The following is a 25,420-nucleotide window of genomic DNA, read 5'->3' as shown; positions in this document are numbered from 1 at the left end:
GAGGCAAAGACTGTCTTGGCAGTTAGCTTATCCAGAAGGATCATGGGTAGAATCAGTTTCTTTTACCATTTAATAAATTTTAATTTATTTTATTTAAAAATGTATTATTTTATTTTTTAAAGACAGGGTCTCTCTGTTGTCTGATGACCGGGCTGGAGTGCAGTGGTGTGATCATAGCTCTCTGTAGCCTTGACTGCCTGAGCTCAAGTGATCCCCCCACCTCAGCCTCCTGAGTAGCTGGGATTACAGGCACATGCCACCATGCCTGGCTAATGTTTTTTAAAAAGTTTTTGTAGAAATAGGATCTTTATGTTGCTTAGGCTGGTCTCAAAGTCCTGGGCTTAAGCAATTCTCCTGCCTTGGGCTCCAAAAGTGCTCAGATTGTTAAGTGTGAGCCACTTTGCGTGGCTCTACCCTTTTTTTAAATAGCAGAGAATCAAAAGGCCCTCAATACTATGTTATTAGGACCTTAATAGGGCACCATGAGTACAGACCAGTGGCTCATAGACCTTGATTGGGCCTGTCTCTCATTTCACTCATTGGGTCTTTATTCTTATTTTTAAAAAGAATTTCACATGTAATGCAGTGGCACTAGCTATACTCATAAGGTCCAGATTATGTTGATTTTTCTCAAGATTATTTTTTAAAATGTCATAATAGTTGAAGTCTACAAGGAATGCCCATTTCCTCTGAATCATTAACATTGTAAGGATTGACCTGAGGATTAATAATGGATTTACTGGAAGAGGGTTTCTGTTAAGCACAGTGATGTTTGCATAATTGAGCCCTCATCCTTTAGTACCTTTGGTATTGAGAGACCAAGACGTTGAGATGCTTGTCGTGTGGCTTTTTCTGCAAGTAAGGAAGGCTGGTTCAATTAGTAAAGACTATGAGGCTAATACCTTCTATTTTTCCAGCATTTTGCTCGGGGAATAAGAAGCTGGGAAACCTAGAAAAGCTTTCCATTAGTTTTCATGACATCTTTTCCTTGGAGGGTCCACAGTTAGCAGTGCTTTGTTAATGTAAAATGGTTTTAAGAAATGTAACCATAAATTCCTAGAAGGTCAGCAGGCGGCCTTGAAAAAGAGCAAGGGAGAAGATTAACCACAATTATTGTCACCGTGGCCTGCTAGGTGCCAGATGCAGTCTTGGGGTCTTGTTACAGGCTTACACTAGCCTCCTAAGGGAGGGATCACCCCAGCTTCTTTGGAGGGGACATGAAGACTTTAGGAGGGGAAGCTACCATCCAGCTTGCATAGGAGTGGCTGAATCAGCACTGACCTCAGTTCTGAGGTCCATGATTTTAATGACCACATGCTATTGCTTCCCTGGTAGAAAAAACTTTGTTTTTCTTTAAAAATTTTTAAAAATTATTTGTTTGGGGGAAATTGAGCTACCATGTTTTTTCTTCTTTCTAGAGATGACATACCTGTTTTCTGATAAGAAATCTACCCCACAGTGCACTAAACCAAAGCAGACAAATGACCAGTAAAGCTGTTTGCTACCTCCTACTCATGCTGAGCTAGGCCAGTGGAGCACCATTTCCATGGGAGAGATTTTTGAAGGAAGAAACTGCAGAGTCCCTACCTAACCCAGAGAACCTAACAACTGGTTTATACAGGAAGGATAGAAAGAACTTTCTACCAACTCTAAAACCAGTCTTCTTTCTGCTATGTCAGGTTCCTCCATTCCCTGGCATCCTTACTTTTCATCCTTTCCAAAAAAGTGAACGTCTAAACCACTCTTTTTTTTTTTTTTTTTTAATACTTTAAGTTCTGGGATACATGTGCAGAATGTGCAGGTTTGTTACACAGGTATACACGTGCCATGGTGGTTTGCTGCACCCATCAACCTGTTATCTACGTTAGGTATTTCTCCTAATGCTATCCCTCCCCTAGGCTCCCACCCCCCGACAGGCCCCAGTGTGTGATGTTCCCCTCCCTGTGACCATGTGTTCTCATTGTTCAATTCCCACTTATGAATGAGTGAGAATATGCGGTGTTTGGTTTTCTGTTCCTGTGTTAGTTTGCTGAGAATTATGGTTTCCAGCTTCATCCATGTCCCTACAAAGGACATGAACTCACCCTTTTTTATGGCTGCATAGTATTCCATGGTGTATATGTGCCACATTTTCTTTATCCAGCCTGTCATTGACAGGCGTTTGGGTTGGTTCCAAGTCTTTACTATTGTGAACAGGGCTGCACACTCTTTACTATGTCTGTAAGCGCCCTCACAGCACTTACATTCCTTGCTTCTTTTCAACAAAGAAATGACACGTTGGTGTACTGTAGGTTGCTTACCTTCATTAATATAGGGGAAAAGTGTTTACAGTGTTGTAAAAATAATTTGTGTGTACTATCTTTTAACAAAACAAACTTTACTTTTTTTTGATATGGGGTCTCACTGTGTTTCCCAGGCTCTTCTGGAACCCTGGACTCAAGTGATCCTCCTGCCTCAGCCTCCTGAGTAGCTGGAACTATAGGCACAAGCCACAGCACCGCCTTCAGTCTTTGCTTTGAGTAGAGTAAGGCAGTTTAGGAAGGTGAACCTAAAACTGATGAATTGGATGGGAATGATGGGAATTCTGAAGGGATGGGCTTAGACATAGTGAAGGAAGGGAATTTAGGCAACTGGAGGGTAGACAGCAAGGGACGCTGGTGGCTCCCTTTGGCTCAAAAATAATGTTGTTTTGTTCTTTCAAGTGTTCATTCCTTCATTCCATTCTTCCTTCATCCAAGCATTCATGCATTTACCAAGCTTTTTTTGGTGGCTATTTTCAAGCTCTGTTTGATGCTATGTAAGAATAAAAAGTGGGAAAATTTATCTTCCTTCTTTTACTGGGAGGAAGAAAACGTTTGGAAGAAATAAAAATGTATACATGCACCTGTTTAAAAATATTGCTCTTATGGTACTAGATGCTTTTTGTTTATAAGATTCGGATGTTTGATATATTTTAGGTATGTGATGGTCAAAGCAAAAGTGTTTAGAAAATTGTGAAATTCTTATCCCACCTGCTTTTTTTCTAGAGAACTAGACAAATGTCCCCAACCCCCTCCCCCAAACCTTAAAGGTGGCAAGTGAATAAAATGGAGAGGCAAAACAATATTTTGTCATTTTCTAAAAACGTTTAAATGAAAAATACAGTGATGAAATAAGAAATACAGTGGTTTAGAAATTTAATATTTCTGGAAAGTCTGAAATCCAAGGATTGTTTGATTGAAGCAGGAAGGGATATCTTTTCCCCCCTTTTCCCCCTGTGGAAAAAGAAAATTGAAGCATTTGAAATAAGTGTGTGCATGTGAGTGTCTATGTTTATTTTGTTAAGCTCACTTTGTGATGTGTCTAAAACAAGAATCCCAAACTCTAAGGCCTCTCAGGACCATGCAGGTAACATAAATTGGCAAAGTGGGTCAGATGTTAGATAACAGTGGAGGTTGGGCACTCAGACACACTGGAGAGCCGCCTGCCCCGTATAATAGGAGCAGCTGCTGCTTGGAGCCTGTTCCTCGTTGCCAGGTGGCAGCCCAAGTGGGGGTGGGGAGGTGATCTTCCAATTTTCATGGAAATCCAGATTTTAAAGTCACTGATTAAAAATCTTAAAAAGCACCAACATCATGTGTGTTAACCAAACCTGTCTGTGGGTTGCATTTGGCTCATGGGTCACCAGGAACTTCTTGGTTTTACACCACTAGAATATACGGTCAGCCCTTCATATCTGTGGTTCCACATCTGAGGATTCAACCAGCTATGGGTTGAAAATATTCAGGGGAAAAATCCCCAATAAAGATAGCAATACCACAATAAAAAATACAGTATAGGCCGGGTGCGATGGCTCACATCTGTAATCCCAGCACTTTGGGAGGCCAAGGCAGGTGAATCACGAGGTCAGGAGTTCGAGACCAGCCTGGCCAACATGGTGAAACCCCGTCTCTAGTAAAAATACAAAAATTAGCTGAGCGTAGTGGCGGGTGCCTGTAATCCCAGCTACTTGGGAGGCTGAGGCAGGAGAATTGCTTGAACCCTGGAGGTGGAGATTGCAGTGAGCCAAGATCGCGCCACTGCCCTCCAGCCCAGGCAACAGAGTGAGACTCTGTCTCAAAAACAACAACAACGACAACAACAACAACAAAACAAAACAAAACAAAAACCAGTATAACAACTATTTACAAAGCATTTTCGTTGTGTTAGGATTGATAAGTAATCTAGAGAGGACTGAAAATATTTAAGAGGATGCACATAGGTTATATGCAAATGCTTCACCGTTTTACATCAGAGACTTAAGCTTTGTAGATTTTGTGTCTGCCAGGGGTCCTGAAACCAATCCCCTGTGGATACTGAGGGACCACCGTACTGTGTATAACTCAGAATGCTCACAAAATGGTTGCTGTTTTCTATTTAAAATAAAAATTTTCCAGCATTAATTACAGAATTTCTAGTTGAATTTGAGTTGAAATATCTCCATTTGTGATGAGTTTGGCTATAAGTGCATACCATAGTGTTTGCATAAAGTAGTCCTTTAATAAAGATTTGTTAAACCGAACTGAATGTGAGGGGGTTTAATAACCCATAGCCTTCCAGTATACAAGAATCAGAGAGAAATTTAAAAACAGAAGAAGCTGTCAACAGAGTAAAGTAAAAATCAATATGTTTTCTGGTTTTAGTGTCCTCTGCTGTGTCAGGCAAATAGAGAAAGCATCTGTTTTCACAAACAAAGGAGGTTTGTCAGCAAACATACCTCATACTTTAACAAACACAAAGGTTAAAGGTTAAAAAAAAAAGAGTGGGGCAGACTCATTGAATTTTACTTTTGCAGTATAAATCTTTGCTCAGTTTTGTTTTCTAAGTTACCACTTCTCTGGCTTCACTTCTTTTGATGTTTTATTTTTGTCATCTCCTGCACTTATGAAAGCCAAAGGTTGTCAAAACTTTCCCACCCCATCCATGTATTCTTGGTTGCAAATGAGAACTTAAGCAGAAAAAGCAGTTATTGAAAGAATATCCAGCAGTTATCAAAGGAATACTGGGTTGCCAGAACCACAACAAAAACCATACCATAGGAACAGTGAGCTACCATTGTGCTGGTGTCACCTTGTGAGGACACCCTGATGACACTGTTCAGACACTGTAAGTGTGGTTATCTCCATATTCTCCTCTGTCTCTGTCTCCTTATGTTGCTTGCTCCAGCTTCCAGGTCCTGAGTGGGAGCACCTGATCGTCACGGGCACACACTGGGTGCCGGGGATGGAGGAAGTGATGGCCTTCTCAGCATCCCTGATGAGGTTGCCCCCTAACCTCCACTAGTACTCACCCCCAACGTAGGCAACTCAGACCCTGGACACTATTATGTTGACTTCCTAGAGGAAGAAGATGGAGGCATCTGACGCCAACTTGAGGCAAAGGAGTCAGACGCTATGTCATTCCTAGGAATTGGCAGCTTGTGGCAGAAATGAAGGGTTCAGAGCGTATATGTTGCTTATCCAGGACACTTTCGGTAGAGTTGAGATTTTAACTCATTGTGCTTGACTTCCAAACCCATGCCCTTAACCACTTCTTTCCAGACGTATCTTTTGTGTAACATAAATGGTGGCATTGACAAATGCTTTCCCAATCTCCACCCCAAAGGGTGCTGCTTACTTTCTGTTCCAAGCAGATACAGTAGAAGTCAGTACTGCCCTGATGTAGATTACATTGTCATCTTTTTTACAGCAGCAGGAAGTTCTTCAGTGGCAGTATAGATGACACATGTGATTTTGTATAAAAATATATATTTTTTATTTTTTTAGTGCATTCTCTGAAGACCTATTGTGTGTCTGCTAGGTATAAGACACTGTGTACTAAGCCCAGGGATACTGAGTTAAGTAAGACAATTTGTGTGCCTTCAAAACTCACTCTAGAGAGAAAGAAAGGTAGGCAATGATATGTAAATATCTTGCTTGTTTAATAAAAAACTGACAAAGGAAAGCGTTTGGAGGATAAAAAAAGTTTGAAGTCCATTGAGGAAAAGAAGAAAGTTACTTCTGCTAACCCTTCCCCCAACCCTCAAATGACTTACAATATGGGGCTGGAGAAAGTGGGTGCCAGGAAAGGGGCAAAACCTGCAGCCAGCTGAGAATGGTGGAGAGACATGAAGACCAGAGAGGGCACTAGGGCAAGTTCATCCAGTGTGAACGTAGCCCTTTTAAATAATCTGATGTATACATATGTAACTAACCTGCACAATGTGCACATGTACCCTAAAACTTAAAGTATAATAATAAAAGAAAAAAAAACTTAAAAAATAAATAAATAAAAATAAAAATAAAAAAAATAATCTGATTATCTGCCATTGTCTCATTTTCTGCTGCCCTATGGCATTTTGACAATGAGTAGAACATTATTTTATTGTAATCCATTAACTGTGGGTAATTCTCATTTTTTGAATGTTCTTTCTTGCTCATAAAGTGCCACATTAACTACCACTACATTTGAGTTGCATAGCTTTGAGAGCTTTATAAACAAATGACTTTGCTACGGGGTGTATGCCCACCTGTGGGAACATTGCTGAGTTCTGATCATCTCACGTGCTTGTGGTCTTACTGGCCCCATGGTCATTAGAGATGTGTGATCCCAAGAGGAAAAACTAGAGTATTGGTTTAGCAGTAATGTCATATTGCAGGTGCCTTTAAACAATGTCGCGCAGTTTAAAGAATATAAAACAAATTTATGATCACAAAGTGAAGACAAGTTGCCACCACCCGGGTCAGGAAACAGACATTTGCTAGCCCTCTAGAAGCCCGCTCTGCCCATTCCCAGTCATGACCCCCTTTCCCTCAAAGGTAAGCACAATCCTGACCTTTAGTCACTTCCTTGCAGCATGTGTTTTCTGTCTCACACTGTGCCAAATCCTTTCTACCTGTGGATTCAGGAAAGCCAGTGTGCTGACACATGGTCTCTCGGGTTGTCATGGTTAAAGTCTGTGCTAATGTGGCTGTCACAGGAATGTGTTTAGGTGCAAGGGTGTTGTGTTCTGCATTTTAACATCAGGTTAGAGGGGAGGCTATGGCGTTTGGCCTGAGGCCTGGTTTCTCACAGGCTCTAGGCGGCGCCTGCTTGCAGGATCTGGTGTAAGGACTGGCCTGGGAGCCCTGGGAGCCATCATCCAGGCTGCTCCTGGCACTTGGAGGTAGGTTGTCAGTACCTTCATTCCATAGCACACGCAAGTGTAATCAGAAACCCTGGGCCTGTGGATTCCTGTAATTTAAACCCCAGTCACTATGGGACTGATTGCATAGGATGGGTTCCATCAAAAGAGTTTCTTTTTTTTTTTTTTTTTTTTTTTTGAGACGGAGTCTCGCTCTGTCGCCCAGGCTGGAGTGCAGTGGCGGGATCTCGGCTCACTGCAAGCTCCGCCTCCCGGGTTCACGCCATTCTCCTGCCTCAGCCTCCCAAGTAGCTGGGACTACAGGCGCCCGCCACTACGCCCGGCTAATTTTTTGTATTTTTAGTAGAGACGGGGTTTCACCGTTTTAGCCGGGATGGTCTCGATCTCCTGACCTCGTGATCCGCCCGCCTCGGCCTCCCAAAGTGCTGGGATTACAGGCGTGAGCCACCGCGCCCGGCCTCAAAAGAGTTTCTTATGTAAGAGGATTTAACGTGGTTTTTAGTATCATTGTGTTTTATAGAAGTTCATTTTAACAATGGTATAATACATTCCTGTAATTGAATTAGCAATACATCAGCATTGTGTTATTTCAGTAGCTACAAGACCGTTTGCCCTGTGTGTACAGACTGCCCGCCCTGTAGGCATGGTCTTGGAGTATGGTAGGTCGTCCTTCCCACCTGTCTATAGAATGATGGGTTTGAAAGCAGTGCCCGGGGCCGACCACGAGGACTCAGAGGTCCATCTTGTACTGCCACAGGCACTAGATGCTGCAGAGTGCCTAACAGGAAGCCAGCATCTGGTGAGCTACTTACTAGTTCGTTAATGAAATTACTGCTCTCATGCTCTCTAGGCTCATGTTTGATTCTGGGAATGAGTTCATGAAGCTGTCGGGAACTTTAATGCAGAGGTTTTCTTTTTACAGGAAGAGCTAGACAGAGCTTACCTAGTAAGGACCAAAACAGTGACCAGATCGAGCAGGGAAGTCTGTTTTGCAGAGAGTGCACCTGGAATCACAGGCAGATGCACAAGAAAAAGGGACACGGAGCAAACCCTCTAGTTCCTAAAGAGTATGGAGACGGCCGGGCGCGGTGGCTCACGCTTGTAAACCCAGCACTTTGGGAGGCCAAGGCGGGCGGATCACGAGGTCAGGAGATCAAGACCATCCTGGATAACATGGTGAAACCCCGTCTCTAGTAAAAATACAAAAAAATTAGCCGGGCATAGGGGCGGGCGCCTGTAGTCCCAGCTACTCGGGAGGCTGAGGCAGGAGAATGGTGTGAACCCGGGAGGCGGAGCTTGCAGTGAGACGAGATCGCGCCACTGCACTCCAGCCTGGGCGACAGAGCGAGACTCCGTCTCAAAAAAAGAGTGTGGAGACAATATTTAGCCTGTGATTTAAAAGAGATGTAACTTTCCTCTTACAGCATCTGCAATAGTGTTTTTCAAACATGGTCTACCAACCACCTGTGTCAGAGAGGTGGTGGGGGGAAGGTGATTGTGGTAGTGGGTGCGTGTAAGAGTGCGCATGCGCGCCCGTGTGTGAGTGTGTGTGTGTGCGCGCGCGCACACACACACACACACACTCAGAGAGTGTTTGTCAGAAATGTAAATTCCTGAGTCCTGTAGCAGATACACCAAACCATAATCTATAGGTGTGGAGGCCAGGAATCTGCATTTTAATCACATAACCATTTTTGTGCATAGTTGAATCCTAGAATCTCTGATCTAGAGTGGTAGTTTCATTCATTCATTTTGGTGAAGGTTGAGTTGGACTGTGGAGAAACTGGGACTTTTAAAGAAGAAAGAAAAGAAAGCGTAGGCCTGAGACATATTTGCTGATTTGAGAAAAAGAAATACACATGAACTAGGGTGGATTTTTTCATACTCTCCTGGAAGAGTCTCAAATTTCAACTCACCTGTTTTGTAAAATGTTCTGAACCCAGATGAAGATATGCTCTCTGGTGGCTCGGAGATGTCATTGCAACCCCTCCTTCCTTCCTTGCCTTGTCTGGGAGTGGGGTAGTGGGTGTACTTTTGGGGTCCTCTGTGGGGAGAGGTCCACTTGAAATATTAGTGAGTAGAGATCAGCTGGTGAGCCTTGAAGCTGGCTGTGGTTAATTTCCAGTCTCAGTTATTCCAAAAGCAAAATATTTCTCTGTCTTGCTTCCTTCCACCTTTCAGTTCAGTTAACTTAGTTCTCCTACATCAATTGAGAATTGGATAAACAAGAAGCATTGCAAGCACCACATGGATTTCTAGTTCATTTTAAGTTGACCTTTCATTAAAGTGAGTGTCTGTAATCGGTGTCTGTGGTAGCTGCTTTAAATCTTTCAGTATTTATAAAGATTAAGGATTTGTTACTTGCGAAGGTCATTGAGCAACTTCAAGAAATTGGCATCAATGTGACGAACTAAGCACAGCTCATTCTTAGCATTTCAGAATCATAGAAGGTTTGAGCTGGAAGGAATCCCAGAAATCCTCTAACCCAGCAGTGCTCGTGGTTAATTAAGAGACTGAGCTCTGGACCCAGATGGACTGTGTTACATTCATGCTCTGCCAGTTGATACTAGCTGTATTACTCAGTGCCTCAGTTTCCGCAGTTGTCAAATGAGGGTGGTGATACCTACTTCATTGTACTGTTTTGGTATTGTAATGAGTTGATGTATGCAAAATGCTGGGACTGGTGCCCAAAACACGGTAAACATTCACATGCCATTTAGCAAGTGACAAAAGACCCAGAGAAATGTTGATTTTTCCTGAGGTCGTATCACAACTCCAAGGTTTAGAAACTAGGCCTTTTAACTCATAGTCTTATTATGTTTCTGTCAATTGTACCAGTTAACTAGTTCTTAAACTATGGGTTCCAAAGTTTATATCTGCCAATATAAGCACTAATATTTATGAGGCTCTGCTTAGTCTCAGTGCTCAGAGATAATTCTCAAATAACAAGATGTGAATATAACATAAAGAGATTAAGACACACAGCAGGACTTTTCTGTCCCTTGCCGAGTAATGCAGCCTTTAAAAACTGTTAGGAAAACGGTATAAAGGCACTGGATGCAAATGTTCTTTCCTCACTTTGCTCAGTGTCTGGCATTAACACCTGGCAATTGTATGGCTAGAGTCAGCAAGAAAAAACAAAACTATATGTATACTATGATGTTTATGTATATATTATGTAATGAAGGAAAAATAAATTTTTCCTACACGTATATACACAGATGTATATATGTAACATATATTATGTAATATGTGTAACATATACTATATTACATATTATATATTAATATATACTATATTACATATATTGTGTATTATATGCCATATATTATGTATATTTGTATTATGTATATATGTCATATAATATATTACACATAAATATTATGTATTATATGTGTTATATAATATGTAATATGTATTTATGTATTATGTAATATGTATTACATATATGTATTATATGTTTTATGTATATATTATATACATAAGTACAATACACATATTATGTAATATATGTATTATAATATATGCATATATTATATGCATATAATATATAATATGTATTATAATATATATTATTAATAATATTAATAATATATAATATTAATAATATGTAATATATGCATATATTATAATACATATACTGTATATTACATACATTAGATATTATGTATATTACATAATATTATGTTATATATTATGTAATATATATGCGATATATAATATATACACATATATTCTGATATATGTAATGTATAATATATGTCTATTTTATATATAATACATATTACATATGTGTTATAATGTAATATATTATATAATCTATATTACCTAAGGTAATATATGTCTATATATTATATTATTTATATTTTATATATATAAATCTGTGTGTATACACGTGTATGCAACAAATCGAAGGAAAAATAGTGAAAGTTCCTACTACAAAACCACATTCTCTCTGAGCTACTTATACTTGCTTTATTTCCTTTCTTCTATTTTAACAAACTTTCTTTTCCTGTGTATAAAGAAGAGGTGTTAGATGTTTCCTCCTGTTTACATAGTTGAATTGGAATTACTTATAATTTTACCTAGAAGGGAATGGATTTTGTTTTTAAAAACTCCTAATAGTGGGACATCAATGATGTATATTTTTGTCCCATGTGCCTGTTAGCCACCCACTTCAAGCCATGAGTGTTTACCCAGAGTTTGCTATGTGAGATTCTTCTTTATTCCTCCCACTGGGAAGATATTTCCTGTGCCCTAAGGGCAGGGTGGCCCTGTTGAGAAAACCCTCTAAAACCTCCCTGATGATAGGGTAACAGTTTGTACTTAGATCTGCGTGACCCTGGAGAAGTTACTTCTTTAAAGTTTAATTTCCTTATCAATAATGGGTTTAATTCTAGTGTATGTTTGATAGATCTTCTGTGTCCAGAGAATTGGCCAAGAGAGCTATATTTAATTCTTTCTCTTCTTCATTTCCAAAGCAGCATGAGTATCTATTGTATATGGTTGCTTTTGTGGACAGGATTACAGATATGGAAAACATGTGGAAGATAAGTGATCAAAAGTGATTTGGAATGACAGTGTAGGGTACGCCTCTGGCAGCTGGGTCAGGGTGGGCTGTGTGGTTGTATGGTTGGTGGTTTGGATACTGATGTTGCTTAAAGAAACAAAAGTAGTTGAAGTAAAAGATTATAGCAAGTAAAATTACATTTTGGGGGGCTTGTGTAACTCTTGTAGTTTTAGTAACAGGCCTTTGATATGTGATGTGCACCCCGTGACATGTTTACCAGTTCCCCTTAGCATCATAACCTGTTTTAGATCAGCATTCCCTTTGCCAGGTGTTATCTGGATGGATTTCTCTGGGCCAGTCTGCAGCAGCTTTGAGACTTATATAAAGTTGAACAACATAGGCGTTAGAGGCACCCCCACCCCTCACAGTCAAACATCTGTGTATAACTTTTGACTCCCCCAAAACATAACTACTTATAGCCTACTCTTGACCGGAAACCTTACGGAAAATGTAAACAGTTGATTAAGACATATTTTGTATATTATCCATATTACATATTGTATTCTTACAGTAGGTAAGCTAGAGAAAGGAAAATGTTATTAAGAAAATCATGAAAGAAAATATATTTACTGTTCATTAGGTGGAAGTGGATCATCATAAAGTTCTCCATCCTCATTGTCTTCATGTTGAGTAGGCTGAGGAGGAGGAGGAGGAAAGTTTGCTGTCTCAGGGTTGGCAGAGGCAGAAGAAAATCTGTGTATAAGTGGACCACGTAGTTCAAATTCGTGTTGTGCAAGGGTCAACTGTACTTACTGGAAAGCATGGACATTTGGTTCCAGGCCTTGGAATTTCATGTCGTTGAACACTGACAGAATCCAGCCCTGCCATTAATCAGGAAAGGATGCCAGATCCCATTTTCATTGTAATGTTTGGCTCGTTCCAAGCAGCTTATCCGGGATATTTCAGGCATGAAATTTAAGCAGCCAGGAGTAACCTGTTCACTTTTTATGGCAGAAATGGGGAAGCTTCCAGTCTGGGAATTAGATTCAGTACATGGGAGTGAAAGGTCATATGGTGCCTTCAAATGAAATACCCTTATAATTTAAAAAATCTGCAAATAAATAGTAATAAGAACAATGATCAGGTTAATGAGAGTTCGTTGACCCATTAACACATAATTGCTCATCATACTCAGAAGTCCTAGGGTTCAGTTGAAGAAGCACAGAGGCAGGAGGGTGTGTTGGTTACTAGCATACAGCTGCAGCCAGGATCTGGTTTGCTTTTGGCTCTGCCACTTAGTTGCAGTGTGACAATTAGCTTAACTTCCCTGGGACTCAGTTTCTTAATTTCAAGGTGAGAGAAGGTAATTATAATAACTGTCTCTTAAGGCAGCTGTGAGGATTATATAAATAAGTTAATTGGCTGAAGTAGAGTTTGGTACTTACGGTGTCTATGTAAGTTACCTTTGTAAACTCAAAACCTACTGAGTTTTTCCTTCTCCTCCTATCTTTATTTCCCTGTCAGTCCATCTACAGTTGGGAAATAATTCCCCATGTGTTTCTCTTGTTTGTATAGTAGCCTTGGAAGTTAGAAGTAGTGGGTAGAGTCTCCTATGCAGCAAAAGGCAGGTATGCTGATTGCTTGTTATAAAAGATTAAGGTTTCCTAAGCTCATATAAACCTAACAATACAAATTTTTTTGGCTGCCATTTTTTTTTTTTTTTTTGCTGTTAGAGTTTGTGTGTTTATTTTTGCTAGTTCAGATTTTATATCAGGTTCTAATTTCTACAACATTTACCTTTTTTTTTTTGCATTTCTTCTGCTAAAGCATATTTTCCTTTTAAAAGTCTTTTCGTTAAAAATTTTAGTAATTGAGCTATTTTTGTTTGCCAAAGCAAAACAGTTATTCTTTTTTCACCTCAGATAAACAACTAATATTGCTTAAATATTTAGTGGGCAGTACTAGATCTTTATTCCTATGTGTAAGCAATTTATTACTAATTTCTTTTAAAAGCATATCACTCAAGAATTCTTTTTCCAAATGACTAATAATGATGCTTCATACTTCTGTGATTAAAACATAGCTAGCAAAAAGCTAATTGAGTTACTTTATCTTTTTAAAATACTTCCAACATTCTTCTTGCTCTTTATTCATTATTGTGAATATCTAAAAAATTATTTAATAAATAAGTGATACTAAGTTCAATAGTATTTACATGTACTGTTTACAAAGAACTGTACCCTAGTGAATATTCAAGCACTGGAAAATGCCTATGAGCATTATCTGATCGTGTTAACATTTGGATCTTCTAGAAAGATTAACAGCACTGCATATAATCAGTATTTGTATAAAGCCTACTATGTGAAGCTTATTAATATTAATTTTATTTGCAATATTGACTCACCCTTGGCGGCAGACAGGACATCGAACTCACGCTTAGAACATGGGAACAGCTACAAGGAAGACTGAGTGATTGGATTGGGGCTCTTCTCTTCTGCACACTCCTGTCTCAGTTCTCGGAAATGTTGGCCTTAACCTTTACCTCTGCAGGACGGCATTTCCTGTGCTTGCTTTGGACTTGTCAGTGGACTTGATGTTGATTGCTAAGCAAGCAAGAAAATTATAATACTGTTTTTGCTGTTTCTCATCTGATTTTTCTAGGGATTCTGCAAAACCTATAAATTTCCAACTAAATTCTGGAAAGGAGTTACTACACAGAAACACTGTTCTCATTTCACTCCAGACAAACTTCTCAGTTGTTGCTGCGTCTGTGCGGGCCTACGGGGTCTCTCTGATCTTACCTCTGATGATTGTTCCCTTGGCTCATTGTGCTCCATTCACTCTGGCCTCCTTGCTCTCCTGAGATACACCTGGCACATGTTCCTGTGGTACACCTGTTTCCGCTTTCCCTGGAATGTGCTTCCCCTGACATGTTTGCTCACTCCCCTTCCTCTAGGACATGCTCACATGTCCCCTTTGGAATGAGGCCTTTGGTGACCACTCTAGACAAAATAACCCAGCCCCCAAGCACTCTCTGGCCCTCTGCCTGCTTTCTGTTTCCTCCATGGCACTTAGCACTTGTCTGACACTACTGTGGGGTGGTCCTGAGGGCAGTGGTTGTGTATACTGCTTTATCTTCAGTGCTGCAACACTGCCTGTTGCATAGTAGAGGCTCTGTAGTTATTTGTTAAATGAATGAATGAGGTTACTCTTACAGTTTTGTATGGAACAGCTAGGAGACAGGTAAGATTGGTGACCGAGAGTTGTATTAGGAGGCTGTTGTCATGGACCCCCTGGGATTTGGTAAGAATCCAAACCAAAGGGTTGGAGAAGTGAAACAGTCAAGAGACAGGGTGGGTAGGTGTGGTGGTGATGCATCTCCTTTGGGAATGGAGGAGAGGGGAAAATGAGAGCATTCTGGAATATTCCCTGTTTTTAGCCTGGCAATTAGATGGTCTTTCCGTTGAGCTAAGATAAAGAATACTGGAAAAAGACTAAGCATTTCTTTTACAAAGCAAATTGTGTGTATTAGTAGAGAACAACATATTTCTGAAATTGGTGTTTTTATGAAATATAGTTTCTCAAAGGCTCTAAGTAACCCTTGCTGAAATGCTGATTTTAGTTTGAGGTCAAGTTTCCTAAAATGTTTTAAAAGCTAGCCATGCAGGAAGGCTTTGGCCTCCAGGGAGTTTATATCTTTAGATAGAGAGATTTTTCTATATTTGGGAGCTAAACTGGAGTTTCTGAAGGTCTGAATACTTAGTTAGCTTCTCAGTACCTTGAGTCACTAACAAAATTAACATTTTAAATAGGAAGTTTACAGTTCTTCCCTCTTTTAATAAATGTTTCCTTGTATAAGAATGATCTTTGAAGCAGAGGCCTCAACCGCATTCCTTATTACACTGCTGCAGCTCTGGATGTACCCATGAAGCCCTGTAATTGGAATCTTCTGGCTGGCTCAGATAAGCAGCTTATTTGTGAGCCAGGTCCTGCCCTGTTTCTTTAAGGCCTCAAAGCAGGAAGATGGTGAACTTTATGCAATTCTGAGTTGACTCCAATCCAGATGTATTTTGGAACTAGGTAGAATATGACTGGTAAGTGAATTTTAATATTTTAATTGAGTTACTTGGATGAATTTAGAGTGATTCTAGGTATTTGCTAATAAAAAATACAGAGTTCATGTTTGTGAGGCTTTTCACTGATTACAATTCATTACTTTGTTCCAAGATAATTTTGTCTCCCTTGCTTCTCACCTGCCACGTGGGAAGCCTTGGCCTCTTTCTTGCTGAGGCTCAGGCTCCTTTGAATAGCAGAGATGAGGGCATGATGCTGGTGACACCTGCTGGCGTGACCCCATTTGGGGAGGCTCTGGCTTCTTTCCTATATGGTTAGAGGTGTCCAGGACCTCTGGGAACCCTGTCTGTTAAATGGAAAGAGTTGGCCTAGAGCCTCTCAGGCATCTCCCAGCATTGAAATTCTGTGCTCTAACTGCTTTTGGTAAAAAGAATGCAGTAGATCTGAATGTACTGATGTGGAAGGATGTCCACGACATATTGTTGAGTGAAAAAAGCAACTTGTAGAACATTTTGTGTGTCTAGAAAAAGAATACATAGTGATGTAATCTGTTAGCAATTGGGGGAGTAGAAGGGAAGGACTTTTACTTCTTAATTTATATCCCTTGGAACTAAATTTATTCACCCATATGACTTTTATAATTTTAAAAGAATAGCAACTAGAAAGCCAATCATTTTAGATGAGCTGTGGTGGGGCCAGCCCCTGAACCTTCTCGGTGCCTGCATTGGGTGGCTGCAGCCTGCTCCTGCATGCCATACTCCCTCTAGCAGCAGCTGGCTTGGGCTGAGAGGCCGCTTCCCACTTGCACTAGCAGGGAACCTTTGTTTTTTCATACCTGCCAGCTGGAACTGTCTTCCCTGCCTGGCTCCATTGACATTTGGATTTACAACTCATATTTTAAAGTTAAAATATATAGGTTGTGCTTCTTAAAAATCACTAACGTTTAAATTTTTCATTTGCTTAGGCTTGCTTTTCTGAAATTAGTAGGCCTTAATGAGGTTTTGGTGAGTTCCAGGATAGTCTTTCCCTGACTGACAGACCGGAACGGGTTTTTGTGTGTATTTACTGACAATGAGTACTGCAGTATGTAACTAATAAAGAATTAAAATACTACTTTTTCTAGGGATGTTTCAGTTTTAATAGAAGGCTCTTAAAGTTTTTAGGAATCAAAGCTCTGAGTCTCAAGCACCTCTTGACTAATGGTGATCCCATATTTTTAATTAGGCATGATGTATGGTTACTCCCAAGTCACCTGTGTAGGCTGGAGATGCTGTGGGATGTGGCAGTAGGTGACGGTTAGGTGGTGATTGTAGGTGCAGAGTGAGTTGGGTGACATGCTGGGAAGACTTTCATATATTGTACCAAGACCCTATGTGTCCCTTCTGTTTTCAGGTGCCTTGTGCCTTTCCTTTATTGGGTCTTATCTGAATAATTTCATCTGTTGCTTTGAGTATAACTAAATATTAAGATAAAAACTATCTAGTGGAGCATCAGTAGCTTATAATTTAGCAAATGGGCCTTTGTTGGCACTTTGATTTAACTAATGTAGATGACCTATGCAAGAAGAGTAACTTTAGGCTTTTCAGTGAGTGACGTGAATTTAGCACATCACATGAAGCACATGTCTTGGAGCTATTAGCTGTCATAGTTTATTGAGTCAGATACCTAAAAGCAGTGGTTCAGAGACGCAGGCATGAACTTTTCCACCTGCCTTACCTTGCTGAGGTCATTTTAAATGCCCCAAGCTAGAAATTGGGTAAAGATTTATAATTTGTCAAACTGAAAATAGAAGAATATGATGAGATGTAGCTTGGGGTGAAAGATTTTTTTGTCTTAAAAATCAGTAATACTATAATGTAATAATAGTTTTCTTTTATTGAGTTTTCATTTATTTACTGTAAAGTCAGGAAATATACTAAGTACTTTTTGTGCATGGTCTCATTAAACCCACAGAGCAACTCTATGAATATCATCCCATCTTACAGACGAAGTAGCTGAGTAACAAAGAGGCTAAACACCTTGACCAAGGTGGTATATTTAACTAATAAATGTTAAAGCTGGGATTTGAACCCCAGGGGTTAAATCCAGGTCCAGAGTGTTAACCACTGAATTATACTCTTTCCCTTAAGTGGATGATAAAACCTTGCTAACTAAGGCTAATTGTGAGCTTATTGTGGACAACATTAACGTGACTTCATTTAAGAATATTTAGTGTCGGCATAGATCACAACACCATGGCTGTGATTGGCACCGTGGTTGTTTTCATTTCTGTAGCTGCTGTAACAAATGACCACAAATGTGGTGACTTAATCAAGGCATTGGCAGGGCTGTGCTCCCTCTGCAGGTTCTAGGAGAGAATCTGATCTTTGCCTCTACCAGTTTATGGTGCCTGTCAGCCTCCCTTGATTTGTGGCTGCCCTACTCCCATCTTTGCTCTGGTGTTCACACTGCCTTCTTCTCTTCTCTTTGGTGTCAGGTCACTGTCTACCTCCCTCTTACAAGGAAGGATACCTTTGATTGCATTTAGAGCCCACCAGGATAATCCCCCCATCTCAAGGTCATTAACCTAATCACACCTGTAAAGTCCTTTTTGCCATGTAAGATAACATTCACAGATTCCAGGGATTAGGACATGGATATCTTTTGGCGGGGGACGGGGCACTATTTAGCCTACTACAGTGGCAAATATTAATAGAACTTTCAGTCCGCCTTGTAGGAGTATGCTTAACGTCAACAATTTCCTAACTGTTTTGCAGGACACAGATGTTAAAAATGTGAAAGAATTCTGTTGTCAAACAGACTTGAGAGTCATTGTGTAATATATCCCTCTTTAAGGAGATTCCCAATGCACAATGAAGGCTTTGAGAATTCCTGTGGCAATGAAAGCTGCTTAACCTTGTCAAACCCAGGATTCCTCAGACTTAGTTGATTACAAAACACTTCTTTTTAAAGGGTATGTCTACTTACATATCAAAAAATACTTGAAGATGCCTTAGGAAGCATGAGTTGAGTTACTTGTTGCCTGTTAGTCTTTTGAAGGCATAGAGTGTGTTTTAACTGACTTTTTGTTACTTAATATCTTAAACATGCTTGGAATTGATTGGACAGAATAAAACCAAGATAAATATACAAAATTAAATGATTCAGGGATAATGTGGGTTATGCCTTGCGTGCCTGTCTGAGGAGTTTGGACTTGATTCTCTAGACCAAGGATTGGCACACTGTAACTTGTGGGCCAAATCCAGCCTTCTGCCTGTTTTTATAAATAAAGTTTTATTGGAACACAGCCACATCAATTTGTTTGCATATTGCGTGTGACTGTTTTGGTGCTATAATAGCAGAGTAGGGGATAGGCTTGCAGGGCTTAAAAAATCTGAGCTTTTACACAAAAAGTTTGCCAACCCTGATATAAGTAGTGGGAAGCCATGAAAGGGTTTTGATCAGGGAGGTGGTATCTTCAGATTTGTGTGTCAGAAAGCTTACTCCAGCAGCTGTGTGGAGGATGGATCGGAGAATACAATGAACAGGGGGATGGCAGAGGGAATGGGAGGGAAGGGAACAGCAGAAAGACATTTTGGACATAGAATCTACTATAAGCCTGGGTATGGGGTATGGGAGGGAGAGGAGCCAAAGACAGTTTTGTAAAATAAGCTTTTAATTTTAGAATACTTTTAGATTTACAGAAAAGTTGCAAAGATAGTACAGAGTTCTCATATTCCCAGATCCAGTTTCCCCTACTGCTAATATCTTATATCGATATGAAACATTCCTCATAACTAATGATCCAATATTGATATCTTATTATTAACTCAAGTCATAATTTTTAAATATTTTCTTAGTTTTTACCTAGTGTCCCTTTTCTCTTCCATGATCCCATTCAGTATTCCACATTACATCTAGTTGCCATGTCTCTTTTGAGCCCTAGACGGTGACTGTTTCTCAGGCCTTGCTGGTTTTTCATGACCTTGACAGTCTTGAGGAGTACCAGTCAGGTGTTTCATAGAATGTCCCTTAATTGGGATTTGTCTGATGCTTTTCTAATGATTAGATTGGGGTTATGGGTTTTTGTGAGGAAGATCACAGAAATGAAGTGCCATTTTCATCGTATTATATCTAGAGTACATAGTACCAACATGACTGCTCACGTTGATATTGAGCTTGATCACCTGATCAAGCTGAGCTAGTGTTTGGCAGGTTTCTCCACTGTCAAGTTACTTTTGTTCACCCTTTCCATACTGTGCCCTTTGGAAGGAAGTCACTATATGTAGCCCACACAAAAGGAGTAGGGAGAAGTTACGCTTCTCCTTGTGGTTGGAATGTCTACATAAATTACTTTGAATTCTTCTGCACAGAAGGTTTGCATATTCGCTCCCATTTATTTAATCAATGATTTATTTTTTAGTATGGATTCATGGATATTTAATTTATGCTTCAGGTTATAATGCAATACTACATTATTTATTTGGTTGGTCAAGTTGTTCCAGCTTTGGCCTTCGGGAGTTCTTACAGTGTGTGTATGTTTTAGTACGTCCTTATTTTCTGGCATTCCAGGATGCTCAGGCTCATCTTGAATATTTGCTTGCCCCAGACCTAGAATCAGCCAGTTTTCCAAGGAGTTCAAGGGTTTAAGCAGAGGTAAAAGTTGTCAAAGGAGGTTGACGAGGAGGGGTCAGAGAAGCAGGTGTATTAGTACAATCTCAGGGCATGCCAGGGTAGCAGATTGGTGAGTGTGCCTTTTTAAGTCAAGGTTCCGGGATAGATAGTATAGGAGTCTGGCTGCTGGAGAGGGCTGGGAGGAAGGGCAGTAGAAGATAAGGCTGGAGCCAGAGGTGTTGGCCTTGAAAACCAGTCCAAGGCATGTTAACTCTCTTTGGCAGGAAGGGTGTATTGTAGGGCTGATAAAAGCTGTGCTTCAGGATAGCTAGTCCGCAGCTTCATGCAAATTAGATAGAGGGATTAGAACTTGCAGTTGCTTCATTGGGAAATTTGGAAATGGGTGCTTGGTGAGGTAATGAAAAGAGGCAGGAAGCAGTGGCCTATTATTTGCTACCAAGGATTTTTGCATAGATTAGATTCCTTCTTAGGGAAAAGAAAGTTAGTGATTAAGCAGTCTGTTTGCTTACAAGCAAATGTATACAATTTAAAAAAGTAGATTGTCTTAAAATATCTACTCTGCCTGTTGTATTTACTAATGTGTGCAGTCTCCTTTTCTTGGAAAAGACTGAAAGGTGGACTTAAACTCCACCCAGTTTGGAAAGTCACAGAATCCAAGTTAATGGAGTCTGCATTTTTAATTTGATTTTTATGTGGTGTCTCCAGTCAATTTCAAAATTATTTCCCGTTGAACTTTCTGCTTTATCTTTTTTAGATGGTGGTTTATGTAGCTTTTAATAGCTGTGGTGTTTCTGAGATAATTGATGGCAGAGAGGAATTCTGGCTGAGCCTCGGTTGTATGGAATTAATAATCCTGGGAATACTTATTTGTTTTTGATTGGCTCCTGGCATTTAAAATTTTTCATTTCTTTTGCATAAACCTGGGAGAACACATGTGACTACACTTTAATCTGCATGTCTTATAAAGAGAAAAGCAGAGTCACCAAATTAGTGCAATGATCTGAATTTTTTTTACCTTTTTTTCTTCAAGTTCAGGGATAGATGTGCAGGATGTGCAGATTTGTTACATAGGTAAACGTGTGCCATGGTGGTTTGCTGCATGTATCATCCCAACACCTAGGTATTAAGTCCAGCATCCATTAGCTATGCTTCCTGATGCTCTCCCTCCCCCACCATCCCTCTCTGGCAGGCCCCAATATGTGTTGTTCCCCTCCTGTGTCCATGTGTCCTCATCATTCAGCTCCCACTTATAAGTGAGAACATGTGGTGTTTCATTTTCTATTCCTGTGTTAGTTTGCTGAGGATAATGGCTTCCAATGCCATGTGTGTCCCTGCAAAGGGCATGATCTCATTCCTTTTTATGGCTTCGTAGTATTCCATGGTGTATATGTACATTTTCTTTATCCAGTCTATCACTGATGGGCATCTGGGTTGATTTCGTGTCTCTACTATTATGAATAGTGCTGCAATGAATGTACGTGTGCATGTATCTTTATAATAGAATGATTTATATTCCTTTGGGTGTATACCCAGTAATGGGATTGCTGGGTCAAATGGTATTTCTGCCTCTTGGTCTTTGAGGAATCACCACACTGTCTTCCACAATGGTTGGACTAATTTACCTTCCCACCAACAGTATATAAGCGTTCCTTTTTCTCTGCAGCCTTGCCAGGATCTGTTGTTTTTTGACTTTTTAGTAACAGTCATTCTGACTGGCATGAGTTGGTATCTCATTGTGGTTTTGATTTGCATTTCTCTAATGATCAGTGATGAAGCTTTTTTTCCTGTTAGTTGGCCATATGTATGTCTTCTTTTGAGAATTGTCTGCCCATGTCCTTTACCCACTTTTTAATGGTTTTTTTTTCTTGTAAATTTAAGTTCCTTGTAGACTCTGGATATTAGACATTTGTCAGTTGGATAGATTGCAAAAATTTTCTCCCATTCTGTAGGTTGTCTGTTCACTCTGATGATAGTTTCTTTTGCTGTGTAGAAGTTCTTTGGTTTAATTAGATCCATGTGTCAGTTTTTGCTTTTGTTGCAATGGCTTTTGGCATTTCGTCATGAAATCTTTGCCTGGGCCTATGTCCTGAGTGGTATTGCCTAGACTTTCTTCTAGGGATTTTATAGTTTTGGGTTTTACACTAAGTTTTTAATCCATCCTGAGTTAACTTTTGTATATGGTGTAAGGAAGGGGTCCAGTTTCAGTTTTCTGCATATGGCTAGCCAGTTATTCCAGCACCATTTATTAAATAGGGAATCATTTCCCCATTGCTTGTTTTTGTCAGGTTTGTCAAAGATGAGATGGCTGTAGATGTGTACTCTTATTTCTGAGTTCTGTATTCTGTTCTATTAGTTTATGTGTCTGTTTTTGTACCAGTACCATGCTGTTTTGGTTATTGTAGCCTGGTAGTATAGTTTGAAGTTGGGTAGCATGATGCCTCCAGCCTTGTTCTTTCTGCTTAGGATTGCCTTGGCTATTTGGGCTCATTTTTGGTTCCATATGAATTTTAAAATAGTTTTTTCTAGTTCTATGAAGAATATCAATGGTAGTCTCAGGTATATCCTTATAGCAGTGTGAGAATGGACTAATACACTTGTCTTGTGCCATTTTTCAAGAGGAATGCTTCCAGCTTTTGCCCATTCAGTATGATATTGGCTGTGGGTTTGTCATGTTATTTTGAGGTATGTTCCTTTAGTACCTAGTTTGTTGAGAGTTTTTAACATGAAGAGATGTTGAATTTTATCAAAGGCCTTTCCTGTATCTGTTGAAATAATTATGTGGTTTTTGTCTTCAGTTCTGTTTATGTGATGAATTGCATTTATTGATTTGCATATGTTGAACCAAACTTGCATCCCAGGAATGAAACTGACTTGATTATCATGGATAAGCTTTTTGATGTGTTGCTGGATTTGGTTTGCCGGTATTTTCTTGAGGATTTTTGCATCAATGTTCATCAAGGATTTTGGCCTGAAGGTTTCTTTTTTTGTTGTATCTCTGCCAGGTGTTGGTATCAGGATGATGTTGACCTCATAGAATGAGTTAGGGAGGCGTCCCTCCTTTTCAGTTTTTGGAATAGTTTCAGTAGAAATAGTACCAGCTCTTCTTTGTATATCTGGTAGAATTCAGCTGTGAATCTATATGGTACTGGGCTTTTTTTGGTTGCTAGGCTATTTATTACTGCCTCAATTTCAGAACTCATTATTGGTCTATTCAGGGATTCAATTTCTTCCTGGTTAAGTTTTGGGAGAGTATATGTATCTAGGAATTTATCCATTTATTCTAGATTTTCTAGTTTATATGCACAGAGGTGGTTTTTAGTATTCCCCGATGGTTGTTTGTATTTTTGTGGGGTCAGTGGTGATATCCCCCTTATCTGATTGTGTTTATTTGCTTTTACTCTCTTTTATCTTCTTTTTTATGCTAGCTAGTGGTCTATATGGTCTGAATTTTTAAAATAATCCCTTTACTCTTGAAATTATTTTGGACACAAAACCACTGATTCTGGAGTGGAGTCCTTTTTTGTTATTTAATTCCTCAAATGTTGTGATTTGTACGTTTGGTTCAATAGAAACAACTCTTCTGTGCCTCCTCTAGACATCTGTCTTCTTTAAGCAAATTAATTTAGTGATATAGAGTATACTCCTTTGTCAGGCCATGGGCATGTTCCTGTAAACCAGGAGTCTCTGTTAGGCTCATTTCTGAACAGTAATACCTATTTTGGGATGGAAACAGCATTTGATTAAAGAGAAATTCCAAGTTTTAAAAATCTGTAAAATGAGGATTAAAATATTTAGGTATAAGGGAGGAAAAGCAAGTGCCACAAGTTCTAAGCAGGGTCTTTTTTTTTATTATTATATTTTAAGTTTTAGGGTACATGTGCACAACGTGAAGGTTTGTTACATATGTATACATGCGCCATGTTGGTGTGCTGCACCCATTAACTCATAATTTACATTGGGTATATCTCCTAATGCTATCCCTCCCCTCTCCCCCGACCCCACAACAGGCCCTGGTGTGTGATGGTCCCCTTCCTGTGTCCAAGTGTTCTCATTGTTCAAATTCCACCTATGAGTGAGAACATGCGGTGTTTGGTTTTTTGTCCTTGTGATAGTTTGCTGAGAATGATGGTTTCCAGCTTCATCCATGTCCCTACAAAGGACATGAACTCATCATTTGTTATGGCTGCATAGTATTCCATGGTGTATATGTGCCACATTTTCTTAATCCAGTCTATCATTGTTGGACATTTGGATTGATTCCAAGTCTTTGCTATTGTGAATAGTGTCACAATAAACATACATGTGCATGTGTCTTTATAGCAGCATGATTTATAATCCTTTGGGTATATACCCAGTAATGGGATGGCTGGGTCAAATGGTATTTCTAGTTCTAGAGCCCTAAGCAGGGTCTTTTGTTACAATCCTCTTTCAAAAACTCCATCTTGTGGTTTTACTGCAGTGGCTGAGCCTTGTGTTTGTTGCTACAGGGTGCTATTATTTAGCAGGAAAACTTTCTAAAGCAGAACCAGGAGAAAGATTGCACTCCTCCCACATTGTCCAACCAACAGAATCACCAAATCACCAAGCAGGAGTGAGGAGAGCAGAGGTCACCTGGTGGCCATCAAGCAGTCTATCCGAGGCAGAACTCCTTATCTGAGGAATTTAGAAGTATTTAGACTTCCCTGTTATCTAAAGCTGGCCTGTGGTTCCAGGCTTCTTTCCCCAAAATGTATAAGTAACTAGAGTTTTTGTATATCTCCAGAATGCATGCATGTCAAAACTCACTGTGCAACCTTTGCACAGAATGTCTATGAATATAATCATTTATTATGACCTATGAGGCTGATATGGTCTAAATTACCCTTAAGCTCTGCTTTAAGCTCCATAAATACCCCAAGAGAAAAATCCACCATGAACAGTCCTCTCTTGCCGAGTCACTCTGCTGTACTCTTCTACCGCATTCTTTCTTTCTAATAAAACTTACCTGGCTGGGCATCATGGCTCACGTCTGTAATCCCAGCATTTTGGAGGCTAAGGTGGGCAGATCACCTGAGGTCAGGAGTTTGAGACCAACCTGGCCA

The 25,420-nt window shown here is 39.8% G+C and overlaps 1 protein-coding gene and 1 long non-coding RNA gene across 10 annotated transcripts in view; one reads left to right on the top strand and one right to left on the bottom strand.

The window, feature by feature from the left end:
- Positions 1-25,420, top strand: part of SGMS1 (sphingomyelin synthase 1) — a 319,585-nt gene that overhangs the window by 54,123 nt on the left and 240,042 nt on the right. The window contains exon 1 of one of the 9 annotated variants that reach the window (XM_047424977.1): positions 15,656-15,745. The exons of the other annotated variants lie outside the window; for them this stretch is intronic. The gene's annotated coding sequence lies outside the window, so the exon portion shown is untranslated. Of the gene's footprint in view, positions 1-15,655; positions 15,746-25,420 lie in introns of those variants that run through there. 9 annotated transcript variants of the gene reach the window in all.
- LOC124902424 (uncharacterized) lies at positions 3,159-9,562 on the bottom strand. Its single transcript, XR_007062144.1, has 2 exons — positions 9,058-9,562; positions 3,159-3,254 (listed from the first exon to the last, which is right to left on the bottom strand). It is a non-coding gene; the product is annotated as an uncharacterized LOC124902424 (long non-coding RNA).

Source organism: Homo sapiens, chromosome 10, assembly GCF_000001405.40.
Source record: "Homo sapiens chromosome 10, GRCh38.p14 Primary Assembly".
Taxonomy (NCBI): Eukaryota; Metazoa; Chordata; class Mammalia; order Primates; family Hominidae; genus Homo; species Homo sapiens.
The sequence above is the reverse complement of the archived record's forward strand: the minus strand, read 5'-3'. Positions and strand labels throughout refer to the sequence as shown.